Source organism: Homo sapiens, chromosome 5 (genome assembly GCF_000001405.40).
Source record: "Homo sapiens chromosome 5, GRCh38.p14 Primary Assembly".
Lineage (NCBI taxonomy): Eukaryota > Metazoa > Chordata > Mammalia > Primates > Hominidae > Homo > Homo sapiens.
In genome coordinates, this window is record NC_000005.10 from 22790724 (window position 1) to 22813023 (window position 22300).

Sequence of the window (22300 nt, forward strand, 5' to 3'; positions counted from 1 at the left end):
TATTTTGTTTCTTGTGTTTTGTGAATACCTAAATTGATGGAGCTGTTACGTAAATATCAGAGACTACATCCCACTGCTTGGTGGCAAGGATTATTGGGATTGAGCAAGAAGGGAGTCATAGACTCATGGCATCGTGGTTGGCACAGAACAGTCATTTATCTTAGGAATCAAACCACTTTCTATTGAAAAGACACCTATGGCAACCATAATGGACTAAACATGAAGGACCTTTCAATCTTCGATGGTACCAAGTAAGCATCCCAAATTCTTATATGACCTTGTGGAGGCCGGAGTCCCAGTTAGGCCCAAGATTATACAGGCTGATGGCTGTATGTCTGAATTAATTTTAGTCAAAGAATATAAAGAACACAAAGAACGTAACAAAGAGAGTAGCCTCTTTGCACACTTAATGTGGAAACAATATATATCAATTACATAGCAGTTAAATTCTCCGGAAGTTTGTTTTCTCAAAACTCTAAACTCCATTTGAATCTTCTTGCCCACTAGTCTTCAAAGCAGGAAGGGTATAAGAGCAGAAATCTAGTGCCAGAAGAAAAATAGATTGTAAGCCTGCCACCAATTAAAAGATTCTTCACCCACGTCTAAGTTTTCGCAGATATAAAACAAAAGAGTAATGATATAAGGCACAATTTGGAGCACAACCATGAAGTATCTACAAATAAAGAACAGAATAAAAGGGAAATAACACTGCCACCTGATAATTCAATCTATATTTAATGCCTTAAAAAAGAAATATGCGATTCCCTTTAATGTAGAAAGACATTGTTCAGGCTGATGAGACTATATGGAACTTAAGTTTGTCAATTCTTGGACTCTTCATTTTGTTCCATAGTAACTGTATTAGTCTGTTCTCACACTGCTATAAAGACATACCTGAGATTGGGTAATTCATAAAGAAAAAGGATTTAATTGAATCACAGTTCTAAATGACTGGGGAGGCCTCAGGAAATTTACAATCATTGCAAAGGTGAAGGGGAAGCAAGGCATGTCTTACATGACACCAGGCAAGAGAGTAAGTGAAGAATGCCAGACACTGGAAAACCATCAAATCTCATGAGAACTTACTCACTATCACAAGAATAGCAAGGGGGAAATCCGCCTCTGTGATCCAATCACCTCCCACAAGGCCCCTCCCTTGACATGTTGGGATTACAATTCAAGATGAGATTTGGGTGGGCACACAGAGTCAAACCATATCAGTAACATTTCTAAAATTAACATACGTCTTCTCTAATTAGTGAAGTGTCAGAGTTAACTGGAGACATTTCTTATTTTAGTCACATAAACAATGGTAATGCCTTTATAAGCACTTTTTTGCAGAAAGGATATCATGAACTAGGGCTTTTTTTTTTTTTTTTTTGAGATGGAGTTTTCACTCTTGTCACCTGGGCTGGAGTGCAGTCGCATAATCTCGGCTCACTGTGACCTCCGCCTCCTGGGTTCAGGCGATTCTCCTGCCTCAGCTGCCCAAGTAGCTGGGATTACAGGTGCCCGCCATCACGCCCCACTAATTTTTCTATTTTTAGTAGAGACAGGGTTTCACCATGTTGGCTGGGCTGGTCTCAAACTCCTGACCTCAGGTGATCTGCCTCCGTCGGCCTCCCAAAGTGCTGGGACTGCAGGCGTGAGCCACCACGCCCGGCCTGAGCTCCCTTTTGATTGCAATTTGGCTTACTGCATATTACTTTGACAGTGGTAAGATAGGTTAGCAGAAAACAGAAATGTCTAACTTCTTATCAGTTTTAGTTTTTGTTGCAGTTTGTTTTCCAACTCACTATTATTAAGATGTGTCATGCCTTCCTGCTTTTTGGCATACACGTATATGGTGGTCATCACTATGTTATAATTGTAAAGTTACAACTCAAAATCCAGCTTTACAAAGCCAGATAAAATCTGGGTAAAAATTGGGTAAAGTCTGGCTTTGTAAATTTGGTGAATTTGAGTCGGTTCTGAGGAATGTGTTCATTTCTGTTGGGTTGATCAAATACAATCTCTGACCAAGTGTGGTCAGGAAACGGGAGTTGGGTCATCAGTGTAATTTTACCAGCACAGGCTCTGGCACAATTACACTGGATATCTCTCCTGGTGTCATTCATAGATATTTCATCACCATCACCTATCAGATTTTATATATTTATTTAGATAAAGGAAATAATGTGCATAAAGCAGTTATAAAGTGTGAGGTACCTCCTAGGTCCTCAAGAACAGTGATTTTCACTTTCCAGGTTGTCATTCTCTAAATTTATTCTTATTTGACCATGCACCCCAAGGTATGGTACCCAGAAATGACAAGACACTTAGGTGCCTGGCAATCACTTCTTCAATCTAGTTACTATATTTCCGTTCATGAAATATATGATCCCATTAGTTTGGTTGGAGCTACATTACACTATTGATTCATACTGATTTCACTGCCAGGGAAAACCTGCAATCTCTCCAACACACGCTATTCCTAAGTGATCCAATCTTTCAGAGAGTTGTCTTTTTAGATTTGGGGTCAAAACCTTACATTTATCAGTTTTAAAAGCTTCTTACTGGTTTTGGCCCTTCACTCTTTGTTGTCCAAATATTATAGATTATTTTTCTGCTATACAAATTATATACTGTGCCTTCCTGCTTTTTGGCATACACATATGTGGTGATTATAACTACTTTATAGTTTTCAAGTTACCACTTTAACTAGTTATAACTACAGTGCACATGAATGAATTTATGTTCTAAAGGAATGTGCTAGAACCCTCTTAGGCTGACACCATTGTATACTGTCTCTTACGTGGTTTTGAATCCATACATTTTATCATAAACTTCTACAATTATATGTCTTAGTCACCAGGAGCTTATGAATAATGCTTTCATGAAAAGCAACCTACTACATTTATTTGACCTATTTGTCTAACATTCTTATTTAGCAAGAGGATAAGCTGCTATGATATAGTCTTAAAAATGTTTGCATAAGTCTCAGGAACATCATAAAGCCTGATCTCATCATGTGCCCGCACTCTTTAACTGTTTTTTTTTTTTCAATCCCATTTATGGAACCACCATCAGAAAAAAAGTGTAAAAATTACAGAAATTCCTCCTCAATTCACAGGCAGTACATCCTGGCAATAAGTCTTCTTCACAATTTGTTATGCTTCTTAACTACTCCTTTCTCATTACTATTATTGCATTGATATTAGCAATCTGCATGTCCTATAAGAATCATCACAAGTTTTCTAGCTAATCTTCATACCTCCTATGTTGCATCATATAAATACTAGCTCTACAGTGTCACTGGAAGGAATATGCTGAAACACTCAGTCTCACTTTCCCTAGTTGCCTTCTACCTCTCAAACCCCCCACATCTGGCTTGCCATGATCACCAATATTCCAAAATGACAACGGTACTGAAAAGCTCATATGTCCCAGAAATAACCACACGGTTTATGCATTCATGTTTTCCATTTGCCACTCCTTCCACCTGGAAGGGCTGCCTTCTCCATCTAATCAGACTTCAGCTCATTCAGAATCAATTGGACAAACAGACAAGGAGGTGGATGACCAGTTTTGTTAGCAGTGAAGGAATATTTGAGTACTAGAAAAGAGTCCACTGGATTTTGAATGCCTGCCATACTCACAGCTCCATCAGAACAAAATAGCCAATATAATTCTGCACACTGGTTAATGTGCTTTGTGTCATGTGACCTGCCAACTCTGACTACAACTTAACTGGAGCGGAGTCTGGGTCCACAGTCAAATATGTCATCTGTACGATGATCTGCTTACCTATGACATGAGAAAGCTGTTCAGTAATGAGACCAGCAAGGCCAGTCAGATTATCTGTTATTTTATTTCGTTTTAAATGCAATATTCACAGAAAAGGACCAAGATTTAGAGAGAATAGAAAAAAATAGATACAGAAAAACACAAACAAAGGAATAGTAGACTGAATAATGCCCCACCCTCTCCAATATACAAATGCAGAGGTGTCCATGTCCTAATCCCTGAAACCTGTGAATATATTATCTTACATAGCAAAAGGGATTTTGCAGATGTGATTAAAGTAAGGTACTAGCAGTGGAGAGATCACCCTGGATTATCCTAGTGGACTCCATGGAATCACAAGTGTTCTAATAAAAGAAAGACAACAGATTCAAAGTAAGAGAGGAACTATGAGCATGGAAGCAGAGATGGAGATGATGTTTTGATGTTATATATATACATATGTCATATATATATATATGTCAATATCTGACTTAATTCATGTAACAATTTGGTGCCAAAAAATGAAGGTAATTTCATAAACTCAGAATTTTTTTAAATGCATGTCCATGTTATTGTATGATTTTGTATCACACCAGTTCAAACACCTTTCTTTACAGTTATTCAAACAAGGCTCTTTTGGAATTATTTCAGTCATCCCTAATATGTCACCTGCCAAAGACCTTGAAGCTAAACAAACAAAAAGACAAAATTTCAAATGACTAACTTTTAGATGAATTGAGTAAGAAATAGTCATTGTCAAGAGATGACGATGGGAGTGTTAATCTCCAGTAAGATGTTTTGTCGAAATGGTTCTTCTCATATAGCATTCAGAAGTCAGAAACTTCAAAAATAAGGGCAGAACAAGTGTACAATGAAAGAACCTTCTTCAGCTTAAGCCTCCCATAGTCCTAAACCTGACATAAGGAAGGCAAAGCATCTTTCCTGTAAATTGAACAGATCTCCAGTATTTCTATCTAATTGAGCTTTCAGAGATTAGATTCCTAATATATCTCATGTATGTGTGTATATACACATATATATACACACTTATATACATACATATAATATATACACATACACATATATAATATATACATATATATTATACACACACACACACAAACACACATCTCATCTTGGCTCTGCTTGCATTAATTATGGCTGAAGAGTTGAATACACATACAAGTCCAAAGGTGGAAGCATACATACACTGTATGGTAACTAGCAAGAGCAGACTATAAAAGCAAAGGCTAGTGAGATCAACATTTTTAGATTCCATATATGGAATCATGTGTGGAAATGAGAAATTATGATACCAAAATTGGTATCAAAATAGTAGAGTGAGAAGTGTGAATTATCTGAGGAAGTCAGAACTAGATTGTACATTATAAAGTGAGACTGAGGACCACCTGTGGAATTTATTTGAGGAAATGGATAAGGATAACATATAAGTGTTAAGTTAGAGCCTTCTGTGCTTAGCTAGCTTCATTTAATATAATGTCCTCTAGGTTTGTCCATGTTGTAAAAAATTACATGAGTTTGTTTTTTATGGCTAAACACTATTCCATTGTGTATATGAACCATATTTTTTAAATCTATTCACTTATTGATGGACAAAGGTTGATTCCACATCTTGGCTATTGTGAAAGGTGTTGCAATAATATACAAGTGCTGATATCTCTTTCGAATACCGATTTCATTTTCTTTGGATATATACCCCATTATGAGATTGCTGGACCATATGGTAGTTCTATTTTTAATTTTTTGAGGAACTTCCATACTCTTGTCCATAATGGCTTTACTAATTTACATTCCCACCAACAGTGCATGAATTTTGTTTCTTCATGTCCTTGACAACATTTATCTTGTCTTTTTCATAATATCCATTCTAATTGGAGTAAGGTGGTATTTTATTGTGGTTTTGATTTGCATTTCAGTTATTAGTAGGATGCTGAACATTTTTTTCATATTCCTGTTGGCCATTTATATGTCTTCTGTTGAAAAACTTCTGTTCAGATTTTTTATCTTTTTTTTTTTTTTTTTTTTTTTGAGACGGAGTCTCGCTCTGTCGCCCAGGCTGGAGTGCAGTGGCGGGATCTCGGCTCACTGCAAGCTCCGCCTCCCGGGTTCACGCCATTCTCCTGCCTCAGCCTCCCAAGTAGCTGGGACTACAGGCGCCCGCCACTACGCCCGGCTAATTTTTTTGTATTTTTAGTAGAGACGGGGTTTCACCGTTTTAGCCGGGATGGTCTCGATCTCTTGACCTCGTGATCCGCCCGCCTCGGCCTCCCAAAGTGCTGGGATTACAGGCGTGAGCCACCGCGCCCGGCCCAGATTTTTTATCTTAAATACTTTGTTCTTCTTCATGATTTAATCTCACATAAAATAGTAAGGAATTATATCATAGGAGGAAAAGCAAGTTTCATAAAATAATACTATGATTTAAAACTGACTCTGTGTCTAATCTCACAACACATTGCAAAGAGTTAATAATGGGTGGTCTTATCCATGTCAAAAATAGAAAGCAAGGGAAGCCTAATGAAAAATCAGGGGACTATTTGCTGTAGACTGAATGTTTGTGTCACGCTCAAATTCCTATGTTGAAATTCTAACCCTTTAGTATTCGGAGGGGGGCATTTGGGAGGTAAATAGATTATGAGGGTGGAGCCCCCATGAATGGGATCAGTGCCTTTATAAAAAAAAAAAAAAAAAAAAAAAGATCCAGAGAGCTCTCTTGCACTTGCTGCCATGTGAAGACACAGCGAGAAGACAACCATCTATGAACCAGGGAACAGGCCCTCATCAGACACCAGAGCTGACAGCACCTTGGACTGCTCAGCCTCCAGAATGGTGAGAAGTAAATTAGTCTTGTTTGTAAGCTCTGTAGTCCATGGCATTCTGTTATAGCTGCCTGAACAGACTAAGAAACTATTAGGTGGTATCCTGGTGGCAGTAGGTACTTTTCTTCAGTCAAGAAGCCCTTGTTCTGTACTAAGTGGCTTCTGACTCTAGTAACTAATAATTGCATAAGTGAAGTTAAGGACTTAGATATATTATAAATAAAATAAACTCCTAAAAGCAGAACAAGAAACAAGAGTAAAAAACAATAGATATTTGTCAGTAACCAGTAAAAGAAGTTGGGAATAACCATCTATGTAGAAATAAAAGATTCTCAGCAATACGTATAATCAGAAAAGTTCCCTTTGCCTTAACTATTAGAGAATTTTACTATTTTACCTCATTTAAATTGTAAATCTCAAGTTTTTTATTTGAATACAATTTCTATTAAGAAATAAAAATATCTGACTTAAGATTTTGAATTCCTTACTATTTGTGTGACTTTTAGAAAATGTGGGTTTATATTCTCTCCTGTATAAAATGCCAATAACAATAGCCCTGACTCATAGTGTTGCTTTTGAGGAATAAATAACCTAATGCGTTTTGGTACAGTACCATAGTTACTGTTATTTCAGTGTTATTTCTTGTTGAACAGTGAACATTTTCTCACCAGCTTTGTTTTGTCAGGAAGCCTTAGGCAAACTTATGACAAAAGAAAAGAAATTTTTTCGCCTTCCTACTCTCCCTTATTTTGGCTGTAACTTAACACTTATATATTATTCTTATCCCCTGCCTCAAATAAATCCCACAGGTTGTCCTCAGTCTCACTTTATAATGTACTATCTAGTTCTGACTTCTTCAGGTAATTCAAACTTCTCAATCTACCATTTTGATATCAATTTGTCTATCCTGACTTCTCATTTCCTCTGAGGTTTATGACCTGATAACCAATTTGATAAAATGTCATTGGTAAATATAGGCTACTTAACAAAAACTATAATAGTTTAAATACATGAACTTACCGGACTGCTTAAAATTCAAATGTATACAGACACATATCATATATATTTTTTAAATTTTACAAACAGTGCAGTTTTTTATTAGAAATAAATTTAACATGTAATATGTTCATTATTGTTATCCTAAAATTTATGATAAATATGTATTTTTTCATTCTAATTTCTAATATGGTAAATATCACCAGATATATTAAACACAGTCACACTTATTTTTATCATATGAGTTTCCAAATCATAATCGTGATAAAATATCTGATACTAGCCCTAACCTAACAAAATGAACTCAAAAGCATTCATATATAATCTAATGAAAGATATATTTAGAATTTTACAAGATTATGCATTGGTAGTTTTATATATTACAAATGAATATTCTTACTTAATAATGGAAACCCTTTATCAAGTAATTATAAGTATAGTATGTTTTCTAAATATTTTGTTTATTTTTTAGTAAAAAATGTCATGATGATTAAAACAAACTGTCTCCATCAGGTATGGTGGCTCATGTCTGTAATCCCAGCACTTTGGGAGGTGGAGGTAGCCAGATTGCTTTGAGCCCAGGAGTTTGAGATCAGCCTGGCCAGCATGACAAGAAACCCCATCTATACTAAAAATACAAAAACTAGCTGGGTGTGGCAGTGCATACCTGTGGTTTCAGGTACTTGGGAGGCTGAAGTGGGAGGATGGCTTGAGCCTGGGAGAAAGAGGTTGAAATGAGCAGAGATCATGCTATTGCACACCGGCCTGGGTGACAGAGCCAGACCCAGTCTCAAACAAACAAACAAACAAACAAACAAAACCACAAAACAGAAACTGTCTCCATATGTGGAATAATTGAATCAGTACCTTAGGCATATTTTTTCCTCTCTGTGTAGAAAATAAATTTCTAAGGAGAACAGTATTTAGCACTTGCTAAAGAATTTAGGATATATTTATAATATAAAGCGTATATATCATGGAAACAGAATTACAGAAACATTAAAAATCATACAGTAATGAAATATGTTCTTTCTTAAACTGAATAGGCTAGTTCATAGGTTGGTGATGTAAATAAATTCTACATAATTTGTAATTTCTATCTTCATAATACATAGCCCTTTTCAGTATTTTATTAAAAATGTGTGTTTTTATTAACTTGTTAGAGTTAATGGATTGGAAACTAATACACCAAAGTGAGCAGAGAAGAATAACTCTTAATTTTCAGCCAGTGATGATATTTCAGTGAGAGAACTTTTATATGTGACACTTTTTAAAAATACGTGTGCTCTTTAATTGACTTATTGCAGTTTGAAGTAACTATTTTATTGAAATCTCCAAAAGGCAATTATATGTATTTATCATAAAGTACTCAGTACTCCCCACATTCATTTAATGAATACTTATTGAACACTTTGAACACTCACGTTAAGAAATATACACGTATACCTACATATATACCTACAATATACACAATATATTGATATTTACAACCTACAAAACAACACACAAACATATTAATAAGCATAATTTTTGCTCTTAAAGTTTTACTACTGGAAAATTAGTAAAAATTATACAAACTAGAAGATTGCCTCATAATAAATAAATATTTTCTGTTAGAAAATCTGAATGTAAATGGAGTTTTCAGAACTAAAAATATTTGAATGGATTTTATTTTCAGATACAGCACATACAAGGGCATTACGTGATAAATGCTAGGAAAGAGGTCTGGGGAAAATGGTTTAGTAGCCACTGAGGAGGTAGTAGTTAATTCAACTGAGAGTATTCAAGGAATAAACATTGCCAGATGAGCTACAGACATGTTTTGTAAACTGACATAAATACTATTATGAATGCAATTTCAATTTTGACTTGTATATTTTCCTGTTGTCACTAGTGTGGGGCTATTACAGCAGCATGAGGAACAACAACCATAATAATAACAAACATAATGTTGCTCAAACTAACTGGTTTCTTGGTTAAAGGAGTTTTTTTCTTACTGCTTATAACTAGAATCAGTTGAAGTAAGATTTCTCCTGTTGATCTCCATAGATAATGTTTTTATAATAGATATTTTTTAGGGTAGTTTTAGGTTCACAGCAAAATTGAGAAGAACAGAGAGTTCTTACATACCCGTTTACCCACTAGTCCTACACGTGTACAGTTTCCTCCATTATCAACATCCCCAAAAAGAGTGGTACATTTGTTACAATTGATGAACTGCATTGACACAATCAATGTTTATAGTTTACCATTAGGGTTCACTCTTGGTGTTTTACATTCTATGAGTTTTGATAAATATTTAACATGTATCTACAATCATAGTGTCATACAAACCATTTTCACTGCCCTAAAAATCCTCTGTATACCACCTTTTCATACCTCTCTCCTAATTGCTGCTGGCAACCACTGAACTTTTTATTGTCTCTGAAATTTTGCCTTCTCCAGAATGTTATATATTCTAAGTCATATAATATGTCAATTTTTTAGATTGTCTTATTTTATGTAGCACTTTACATTTAGGGTTCCTCCTTGTCTTTTCACGGCTCGATAGATTATATTTTTTAGCATTGAATACTATTCCATTGTCTGATTGTACTATAGTTTATTTATCCATTCATCCACTGAAGGATGTCCTGGTTGCTTCTAAGCATCCATAATTATGAATAGAGCCGCCATAAAAAACCATGTGCTGCTCGTTCTGTGAACATAAGCTTTCATCTCCTTTGCATAAATACCAAGAATTATGATTGGATCATATGGTAAGAGTAAGTTTAGTTTTTTAAGGAACTACCGCATTGTCTTCCAAAGTGGCTATACCATTTCGCATTACCTCCAGCAATGAAGATTAGTTCCTGAGTCTTCATACATTAGCCAGAATTTGGTGGAGCCAGTGTTCTAGATTTTGCTCCTTCTAACAGGTGTGCAGTGGTTCCATAGACTTTTAATTGAAAAGAATTCAGTACATCAGAAAATTAGGCTTCGTAGGTAGCTCTGCAAGCCAAAGGTGTTACTAGCAATGCAGCCTTCATCAGCTAAGCAAAATGCCAGTTTTGGGACGCCTTGAAAGAGATTTTGTATGAGCTATTAAGGGCATCAACTTTTAAAAAGAGGTTTTTTGCCTTTTTAAGTCAGTGAATATTTTACCATCTTAGATTGCTTTTCAATTATCTTTCGTTTCCTCCAGCTGACGAATTTGTCTTTTAACATCCTACAATGTTGTCGATATAATGCTTCTATTTTTAATCTTAACAAACTTAACATTTCACTTTCTGATTAAAGTTTATATTTACAATTACCTTCACTCTGCTTATCATATATATATATATATATATATATATATATATATATATATATATATATACACTTTGTTTAATAGGGAGAACACATAAGATTTTAAATGTTATATCTGTCTTCAAAAAGATGGGTGTTTCAAACACTAATGGCAACTTTGTTTCTGTCCTGTATTTATTTTTCTCTGGTATCACTATAGTGTTTAAATGTGCATTTACTTTAATTCAGTTTGCTTGGGCCATTTTAAAATCAACTTCTAAAAAATTGTTATTCATTTACTCTATCCTTACTTCCTCCTTTTCGTTTTCTTGACATTTGTATTCTGAGGTTTCTATTAAATGTATGTGGACCATCTAATACCATCCTTAATATCCCTTATACTTTCCATGTCACTCTTACTAAATTGCATTACATGGTGATTGCCTAAAATTGTTTCTCCCAATTTACTGATGCTCTCTTTGTCTATGTCTAATTTTGCTGCTCAAACAGAATATTAAATTCGTATTTTTTTTTTTTTTTTTTTTGAGACGGAGTCTCCCTCTGTCGCCCAGGCTGGAGTGCAGTGGCACGATCCAGGCTCACTGCAAGCTCTGCCTCCTGGGTTCACGCCATTCTCCTGCCTCAGCCTCCCGAGTAGCTGGGACTACAGGCGCCCGCCACCACACCCGGCTATTTTTTGTATTTTTAGTAGAGATGGGGTTTCACCATGTTAGCCAGGATGGTCTCCATCTCCTGACCTTGTGATCCGCCCGCCTCAGCCTCCCAAAGTGCTGGGATTACAGGCGTGAGCTACCGTGCCTGGCCCAGAATATTAAATTCTAATTTCTAAGAGTTAGTAATTGTTTCAAATTGCTTTATAGTAATAAATAATTAGACTTCTGTTTGTTGGGTCAAGAGCCCTCAGTCACCATAGGATATTGTCTCCTATCCTCATTTGCTTGTCATTTTAAATTGCGAGGCAGTATTTAGACAGATGTATTCTGCGGAAATTCCTATTTGCCAGGTCGAGGCTTGTATTTTCAGAGTGTCTTTTTTAATGCTTATAATAAGCATCCCAGGAATACCATCAGTTCTGGATTAACTTTTTGTTAATTTCACCCAAGTGGCTACCAGACCAGGTAAGTAGTGTAAATGACAACCCCAAACACACAATAGGCACAAAGCCATAGTTTTTATATCCTTAAGATAAGCATTTTATTTTTTTCTCTAAGCAATCTGTTGAGAGCCGAGTTTGGAAATATATACACGTTTAAAAAATTTATTTCTACTTCCTATTTTTGTTTAATATGGAAGATGATTCAAGGGTAAACCTTCATATTCAGCTTGAAATTCATCATAAAGACCCAAAGTCTTGCACTTAAGTGGGCATTAAAGCCCACTTAACCAAGCCTCTAGGTTACAAAGATGAATATTTCCTCTCAGCTCCTCACTAAAGGAAGCCCAACATCAACTTTCCCACTTACCATCTTGCATGGCTTTTATCAATGGGAACATATTTGCTCTGTCTCAAAGTCTTTTCTGAACTGAAAACAGTATTTTGTGTAAAAAGACTGCGTTTATAAAAGTTTATAATAGGCATTATTTTCGTGTTAGTCTTCCACATCTCCAAAAATAGAGGTTATAATTTAATCAAGAAACATTTTTGCAAATTTTACTTTTGTCAACTGTGCTGGAAGGGCCTACTACTATAATTAAAAATATGCATCATGAATTCAGTAAAATTTCTAAAAAAGGGACAAGCAAGGAATTTCTTCTCTTTTTATTACTGAAATTACCCCAAAGTAGAGTGGCTGAAACTACAAGGATTACTGATAGATATAAAATCATTCCAAAAGAAATAAAAATACCATTATCCTACTCTTAATTCCTACAATACACAAGTCATAAAAAATCAGACTCCAAGTTTTTGGTGCTTAACTGTTGGGAGCTTTTAAGCCTCCTCCCTCCCATATTTTGCTTCTTCCTGACATCTGGTCAAACGGATAAGAAAGCTATGATGTTCTCTCGTTTAGCATCAGCTGGAAGTTCAAATAATACAAAAAAAATACTTCACCTTGGCCGCACTTTTTCATATCTATAGAAAATTTATTCTCCTTTCCCTACTCTCTCAAACCTTTTGGAAGTGTTTGGAAGCCTTCCTGCTCTCCCCAGAAAGCCTCGTTATGTAAGTGATGAGCGTTTTCAAATCCTTTCGTGTGTTTTGTATGGTATCGTGACATCAAAACCCAATCTGGGGTAGAAGTCTATATAGTTTCTGTGGGGTGGCTGCAAAACAGCAGAATATTTATTTGGTAAAACACAGTTTATAAGATGTAAATGATTTTTAGAGCATTATTTCAATTACTATGAGTCTATGTTTTTACAAAAAAAAAATCAAGAGCTACTGTTTAAAACATATTTAAATAAAAAATGAAAGACCCGCTTGCATATTTTGCACAATGAAGAAATGTATTAAAGAATAGAAATATTAAAAGGTATTTTGTTATAATTTTGAAGTTCACATGACATTTCAAGTTTTTTTTTACATAACAAAGGTATTTTTTGTCTATAGTATTTGGCGGCCACTAAATGGGAAACAGAATAATGATAGTGAAGACAAGGAAATATAATATGATTTTCTCTACCTTTGAATTTGGATATGTACACTGTTCCTATGTTTAATATGACTTCTCTCCACATATATTAATAATGTTCCAAAGTTTTTATCTTCCCTCAAACCTATTTCTCTTTTGTTGAGGAAAGGATAAATAAAGCTGTTAATTCTGCCTGTGAGAGAGAGAAGGATGGGGGGGAGATTTTATGGAATTGGCTTATGTGAATGTGGGGGCTGCTAAATCCAAGATCTGTAGGGCAGTCAACAAGCTGGAAACCAAGAAAGGAGGTGACGCTGCAGTCGTGAGTCTGAAATTCAATGAATCGATCAGGCTGAAACCTCTGGCAGCATTTGATGCCTCAGCCTTGAGGTAGACCACCTTCTCTGGGAAACCCATTTTTGCTCTTAAAGCCTTTAAATGATTGGATGAGGGCTACACACATTATCAATGGTAATCTTCTTTACTTAAAGTCAACTGATTGTATATCTTAACCATACCAGACCAACAAAATACCTTTGCAGCAACACATGATTAATTATTGATTACACAATCAGTACCATTACTAGTACAACCTAGACAAGTTGACACATAAACCATCACAGATGGACTAAGATTAGGTACTACATAATTATGAAATTGTACGTACACTACTTTAAGAGCCATTGAGTTTTAACTTCTTGAGTAAAGTAATGCAAAGCAAAGTAACTGTGGTTTTTATCTTTTCCCTTTGTTTTTAAAATCTTACTGAACTTTAAAGGTCACCTAGAAACTGTTAAATATATCAAGTATGGGCAAGAATATGAAGCAGAAGGGATGCTGTACACTGCTGGTGGGAATGTAAAATGCTATAATGATTTTGGAAAACAATTTAATATTATCTGACACATTTGAAAATGTGCAAATCCATGATATAGCAATTTTCACCTCTAGAGAATCCTTGCATATATATACTGTTTTATATCATTATGTTGGGAGACAAAAGGAATTACAGCAAATATAAATGAAAAAATAGATATACTTATATAATAAAATACTTACATACTTATGTAATAAAATACTATGCAATATGAAGTTGAATGTTCTATAGTTTCCTGCATTGATGTGGCTGAACTCCACCACCAGATTATTTGCAGAATGAACCCATTTAAACAAAATTTCTTCAAAATTACACATAAGAGTGAAATAAATACCTCAAGGAATTAAAAAAATAAGAATAATAATTACATCTAAAAGAGAGGATTATAATTCAATTGAGAAATAGTATATAGAAAGTGTAAAATGTATTGATTTTCTATCTTAAACCTGAGTTTGAGTATATGTTTGCTTAATTTGTGATCCTTATTATGTATATTACATATTATTATTATATCCTTTTGGGTAAAGTTAATATATTTCATAATAGTAATCATCAAACATTTAGCATTTAAGTTTATTTTACAAAAGCTTTTTCTTTCTTTTCATCATTATTCTTTAAGTTCTGGGGTACATGTGCAGAACGTGCAGGTTTGTTACATAGGTATGCACGTGCCATGGTAGTTTGCTGCAACCATCAACCCATCATCTACATTAGGTATTTCTCCTAATGCTATCCCTCCCCTAGTCCCCCACCCCTCGACAGGCCCCGGTGTGTGATGTTCCCCTCCCTGTGTCCATGTGTTCTCATTGATCAACTCCCATTTATGAGTGAGAACATGCGGTGTTTGGTTTTCTGTTCTTGTGTTAGTTTGCTGAGAATGATGGTTTCCAGCTTCATCTGTGTCTCTGCAAAGGACATGAACTCATCCCGTTTTATGGCTGCATAGTATTCCTTGATGTATATATGGCACATTTTCTTTATCCAGTCTACCATTGATGAGCGTTTGAGTTGGTTCCAAGTCTTTGCTATTGTGAATAGTGCCACAATAAACATACGTGTGCATGTGTCTTTATAGCAGCATGATTTATAATCCTTTGGATATATACCCAGTAATGGGATTGCTGGGTCAAATGGTATTTCTGGTTCTAGATCCTTGAGGAATCGCCACACTGTCTTCCACAATGGTTGAACTGATTTACACTCCCATCAACAGTGTAAAAGGGTTCCTATTTCCCCACATCATCTCCAGTGTCTGTTGTTTTCTGACTTTATAATGATTGCCATTCTTTTTTTTTTTTTTTTTTTGAGATGGAGTCTCGCTCTGTGGCCCAGGCTGGAGTGCAGTGGCGCAATCTCGGCTCACTGCAAGCTCCGCCTCCCGGGTTCACGCCATTCTCCTGCCTCAGCCTCCCGAGTAGCTGGGACTACAGGCGCCCGCCATCACGCCCGGCTAATGTTTTTTGTATTTTTAGTAGAGACGGGGTTTCACCGTGTTAGCCAGGATGGTCTCGATCTCCTGACCTCGTGATCCGCCCGCCTCGGCCTCCCAAAGTGCTGGGATTACAAGCATGAGCCACCGCGCCCGGCCTAATGATTGCCATTCTAACTGGTGTGAGATGTTATCTCATTGTGGTTTTGATTTGCATTTCTCTAATGACCAGTGATGATGAGCTTTTTTTCATATGTTTGTTGGCTGCAAAAATGTCTTATTTTGAGAATTGTGTGTTCATATCCTTTGCCTACTTTTTGATGGGGTTGTTTTTTTCTTGTAAATTTGTTTAAGTTATTTGTAGATTCTGGATATTAGCCCTTTGTCAGATGGATAGATTGCAAAAATTTTCTCCCATTCTGTAAGTTGCCTAGTAACTCTGATGATAGTTTCTTTTGCTGTGCAGAAGCTCTTTAGTTTAATTAGATTCCATTTGTCAATTTTGGCTTTTGTTGTCATTACTTTTGGTGTTTTAGTCATGAAGTCTTTGCCCATGCCTATGTCCTGAATGGTATTGCCTAGATTTTCTTGTAGGGTTTTTATGGTTTTAGGCTTTTTCAAGATATGTAAGATGCTAAAGTAGATTTTGACTGAAAAGGGCTAAACAAAATTATATAGAGCAACATAATTCTAATTAGGTTAGATATTTACATAATTGTGGCATGCATATGGGAATAATATTATAGTCATTATGTTGGAATTTTCAGTGATTATCTTTCAAGGATATGATGATAGATGGCATTTATATATTTTATTTTCTGCAATTTCAGTTTCTTTTGAATGCATCCTTGCACATATTACTGTTTATACATTTTTAGACTATTAATCCGTATATCATACCCAATTAAATCTCATATATAAGACATAATAATAGAGGGAGCTTCTTTCATAAACTACATGTTTAAATCTTAATAGACTAAAAGATACTACTCCAGTATACAGTTATGTGCTGCTTAATGACAGAGATATATTCTGAGAAATGTATCATTAGGCAATTTCATCATCATGGAAATATCATAGAATTTACTTATGTGAACTTAGATGGTATAGCCCACTACATACCTAGGCTATGTGTTACAGCCTATTGCTCCTAGGCTACAAACCTGTACAGCATGTTACTGTACTGAATACTGCAGACAATACTGTAATACAATGGTAAGTACTTGTGTATATAAACATACCTAAACATAGAAAAGGCACAGCAAAATAAGATTAAAAATTGCACACCTGTATAGAACACTCACCATGAATGGAGCTTGCAGTTCCTGAAGTTGCTCTGGGTGTCAGGAATGAATGATAAGTAAATGTGAAGGCCTGAGACATTACTGTACATGATGTAGACTTTATAAACACTGTACACTTATGGGACATTCAATTTGTAAACAGAAACAAAAAAAATTAAATGTATAAAAAATAAAGTAATTGTGCTATGACATCACTGGATTATAGGATTTTTCAGCTTCATTATAATCTTATGGGACCACTGTCCTATATGCGGACCTTGTTGACCAAAATATTGTTATGCCATGCATGACTGCATTTACATGAAATGATTTTCAAAGAACTGATTTACATAAAAGACTACATACAATTCTTTAGTGTGGTCTATATTATGTGAGGAATCAATTTGAACATTATTAGAATTAATTACACTCATGCTATCTACTCTATATTTTTCCCCATTCAAATACTTAATACTCTAATGATCACAATTAGATCAGTGAATGCAGAGGTGAACAATGCTAGAGACCAAACTGCTTTACAACCTAGCTTGTGACATACTATAATAAACTCAAATCATGCTTGATGAATAAGAAAGATGAGTGATACCCTTACAGTCCTTTTTCAGAGAAAATTTTAAATGCTTACTTTGTTAGAGATGAAAAAATAGTCAAATGAGAATTTAATGGACGTACTGTAAAACCAAGTGGCCTGTTTTAGTATAGATTTTATTACATTTTATGGAACTAGGAGTAAAGACAACAGCCTGCAATTTAACTATTTGTTTTAAATATCATAAACTTGCATAGATTTTCTTTTCTTTTCTTGTCTTTTTTTTTTTTTTTTTTTGAGATGGAGTCTCGCTTTGTTGCCAGTCTGGAGTGCAGTGGTGCGATCTCAGCTCACTGCAACTTCTGCTCCCGGGTTCAAGCGAATCTCCTGCCTCAGCCTGTAGCTGAGACTACAGGCATACCCCACCACACCTGGTTTTTTTTTTTTTTTTTTTTTTTTTTAGTAGAGGTGGGGTTTCACCATGTTGGCCAGGATGTTCTCAATCTCTTGACCTTGTGATCTGCCTGCCTCAGCCTCCTGAAGTGCTGGGATTACAGGGGTGTGCCACCACACCCAGCCAACTTACATAAATTTTCTAACAGCCAAGTCTTCAGAAAATATTCTACCACCAGGTTGAGGGGCATATGCAATGTTTTGCTAATTCTTTTAAAGCAAGTAGCTGTATTTTGAGATAGTTTATAAAAGACCAGAAATGCCTAAACAATAATGTAAGATAAATTATTCAAAGTTCGTTGAAGGCAAAAAAAAAAACTGTGTAATAAAATTAATTCTGATGAGCCTACAGTTACATCATTTGAGTATTGAGACTGAGGTGACTAATTTTGAGTGCAGACTTTTAAATATATTTAAGAAATTTTAGTTATATTTTATTCATTAAGGCATATAAATTGTCAGTTGCTATTTTGAGAAAGTTATCACAACTTTATCTGTTTCTATCACGAGTTATGTGGTAGCAGACAAAAGTATATTTTTACTTATGAATATAGAATAATTTTATGCTTATTCTCTGTCAAGTCTAACAATATAATCCTATATAAAATATAAAATATAGGGATCTTATAAAGAACATATTCTAGAAATAAATATAAATAAATAATATGATACATTCCTTTCATAAAATGCTTTTAAATATATGCTTATCTGTATTTTAGAAATATATATCTTCACACAGTCCAGGCTCAACCTAAAATATTAAATAAAGTCAAATATGGGCAGGCTTATCTGGATAAGAATATATAATATTTAAAAAAATAAATTGATTTATTTAGCAGACCAAATTTTAGAAGCTATAGTTCTACTTTACCAACAAGAAAAAATGTTAGAGGGAAATATTTCATTAAAAACTGCAGAAGGTAGATATCATTTCAGGATTGATTCTGATACTGGAAAAAAACAAAACCTCTTTTTTTAAGCCAAAAATACTGCTTCTAAACACTTTAATAACTTGGTGTATTTTAATAGAGTAAGAGGAGAAAATATTTCTGTGAAATTATCAATAAAATATCTACTAGTTCAAATGGTGTAAAATGTTATATGAAAAGTTTACCCAATAAATATACTAATTCAAGATTAATTCAAGATAGTCTAGAATGTATCCTAGCTTAAACTTTACACCATTGTATTTTAGTATTATAAAACTCATTTATAGTGATAGATTGAATTAACACCTATGTTGTTTTTATTTTAAAACACTATATTTTATTCTCCTCTTTCTCTAAATAACAAAACCAGGGGAAACAAAATGAGGTTTCTTATTTCCCAAATCATTAGTTTGTATTTATTCAGTGACAACAGTAGAAAAAATAATGTTGAAGTCCAAAGGAAATTAACTGCCTTTGGGACAAGTTCCAGATTTTAGTGATGAGAAGTTTTTAATAATCATTTTAGTATTTTATTCAACAAAGATATACCGAGCACACCAAAAATCCACACTAATTCTGAGTATGCGTAAGTGGATAAAACATAGTCCTAAACAATAGGAAGTTTAAGGGCAAGTAATGAAGATAAAATGTAGAAATGTGTTGGGTTTGAATTGCCAGTTGTTAAAAGATTGTTCATTACGTGTTTCTCACATCATTTTTTTTTAACTTTTATATTCCAAGGGACACTTTTATTCTCCCAGTGAACATTAAAGTTGAAACAAACATTCAATGGATACCTCAATTTAATAAGGAAATGGAGTTATTCTTAGCAGCATTTTACCCTCTAAAACCTAGAGAAGGAGTGAGAGAAGATGGTAGCAATTAGAAATAAAAATGGGCCACGCACCTGTAATCCCAGCACTTTGGAAGGCTGAGGGGGAAGAATCGCTTGATGTCAGAAGTTAGAAACAAGTCTGGTAAACATACTGAGACTCCATCTCTGTCAAAAAATAAAACAAAATTAACCGGGCCAGTGGTATACGCATGTAGGCATGTACCAGCTACTCAGAAGGCTGAAGCAGAGGATCACTTGAGCCCAGAAGTTTGAGAGTGCAGTGGGCTATGATCGTACTCTGTACTCCAGCCTGGGCAACAGAGTAAGACCTTCTCTCAAAAAACAAAAACAAACAAATATATGTGTGTGTGTGTGTGTGTGTGTGTATACACATATATACTTACATATATACATATATACTTACATATATACATACATATGTACATACATACACATATAGACATACACATATATACATATGTACATACATAAATATATACATACATACACATATATACGTATATGTATACATACATATATACACACGTATATGTACATATGTATATATACATATACATATATACACATATATGCTTCCAAATATACATATATATATACACACACACATATATATTTGGATGGACAGTCATGAAGTACGAAAACTGGGAGAGAGGAGAGATCATCTGGATATAGAGAAGAGGAAAGCGAGGGCAATAGTCTTGGGATTTCACAGCGGTTAATCTTCTATTCACTATTCTTGATCATTTGCAAATCCCAACTTAGACAATATCATAGGCCACAGATGCCCTGTATGGGGATTGTGAGCAGAAAGAGAGAACCTAGGCCCCTAAGCAGATTAGACGATATTCAGTGGCGGAAGTTGCTTTGTGAGCTGAGAGACTGATAGTCATACCACCCTTGTTTTCCTACAGGTGTGTTACAGTGATTTGCCCAGTGATAAAATAGAGGCATGTGTGAGGAACTCAACTGAAGCAAAGATGTGAGTGGTTACTCCTACCTGATAGAGATGAAGGATGTCAGGGATGACTTAACAAAAGAAAATGCTTTCACTGTATTTTATGAATCGTTTGAGAAATGTTTATTTTAAAAGGAACTATTTTACTAAGGCATGGGGATTGGGTAACGAATTACATCAGGTAGTGCAGGATCCTGGGGCTAGTAAAAGCAGGATTGTGTAAACTTTCTGAAAGGGATAAGAGGAGAGAGAAACGGCTAAAACTCAGAAGAGGGAAATTATGAAGTGGCTACTTGAATAAGACCAGTGACTTCTACAGAAGGGATCACAGAAAGGAAAACTCCATACCTATTGTCAGGCCTCTCCCTGACCACATTCAATGAAAAGATCGAAGTTAGAGAAGACAGCTAGGGTGTTCATAGAGGTCGACCTTCTGAAATAACATGGCAGAGAAAAGTGGACACTGGCTCTTTAGGGGCAAATAAAAAAACATCTATGCCAACCTCCTGTTTTTATTGGGCTGGATTTTAAAGGAATCTGAATCTCAGGTAGACTCAGCTTTCATCAGGATAATGATGAGCTTAACTGTGGAACTGGACATATAAGATTATGAAATCATGAAAATGTATTCTATTCTCTGTAAATTGTATGTTTTAGGTGCTTTCAAGCATAGGGATTATACTTAAAAGCTGAGGCTCTCCGCTCAGCCTTCCAAAGTGCTGGGATTACAGGTGCTAGTATAAGGATTAAGTATAAGAATTAGATGGGAATATATATTTTTTGAGGGAAGGCATAATACTTATCATTAAGCCTGAGCCTATACAGGTGTGCACTACCACCCTGTCCGTCTCCTCTGCAAACACATATGCTCTACTGTCCCATTAGCTATCATTTATAAAACACAAATTCCAAGGTGAGACAATAAAGAATTCTAGTTGGGATAGCAGAGCATTAAGCCAAGTACAGGGTCCCTTTTGAGGGTGAGGCCCTACATAAGTTTACAGATTGCAAACCTGTGAAGCTGGCCCTGACAGTATGTGACAGTGTCTGAGTCTGACAAGGAAAAAAGTAGGTCTTAGAAATCTGTGTATATTCTCCAACTAAAACCTCATGTTTGGGGGTGTGGGAAAAGTGCAGCAAGGATTCAAAGAACTGGAGGTCTCAAGTAAGCTGAAGAACAGGCTCATAAGGGTCTGGCGAAAAGAAAAACCTAAACTGATTAAACTTTGTAGTATTTGACTACAGTTCCTATGTGAGTCAGATTTAGATGTCATTATTTCAAAGAGAGTGTAGTAGAAGGTGAAGTCAAAAAATGATCTGTGACTAGAGGCAACGGAGGGAAATACAGCATAATGACCACTGGTATTCAAGAGATGTGTGCAGTTGAGGAGGTTGGAGGACTGAGGAGGAGGTGAAGAAATGATCGCTGAGATCAAGGAGACTTGCAGAAGGGGTTACCATCAAGGTTTCTGGACTGACCTAGCTGGGAACTGGTTTAGGAAT

The 22300-nt window shown here is 35.3% G+C and overlaps 1 protein-coding gene across 5 annotated transcripts in view; it reads right to left on the bottom strand.

Moving 5' to 3' along the window:
- The window catches only part of CDH12 (cadherin 12), a 1102672-nt gene that overhangs the window by 1040051 nt on the left and 40321 nt on the right, over positions 1-22300 (bottom strand). For 3 of the 5 annotated variants that reach the window (NM_001364106.2, NM_001364105.2, XM_047416602.1), the window contains exon 2: positions 19894-19986. The exons of the other annotated variants lie outside the window; for them this stretch is intronic. The gene's annotated coding sequence lies outside the window, so the exon portion shown is untranslated. The remainder of the gene's footprint in view (positions 1-19893; positions 19987-22300) is intronic. 5 annotated transcript variants of the gene reach the window in all.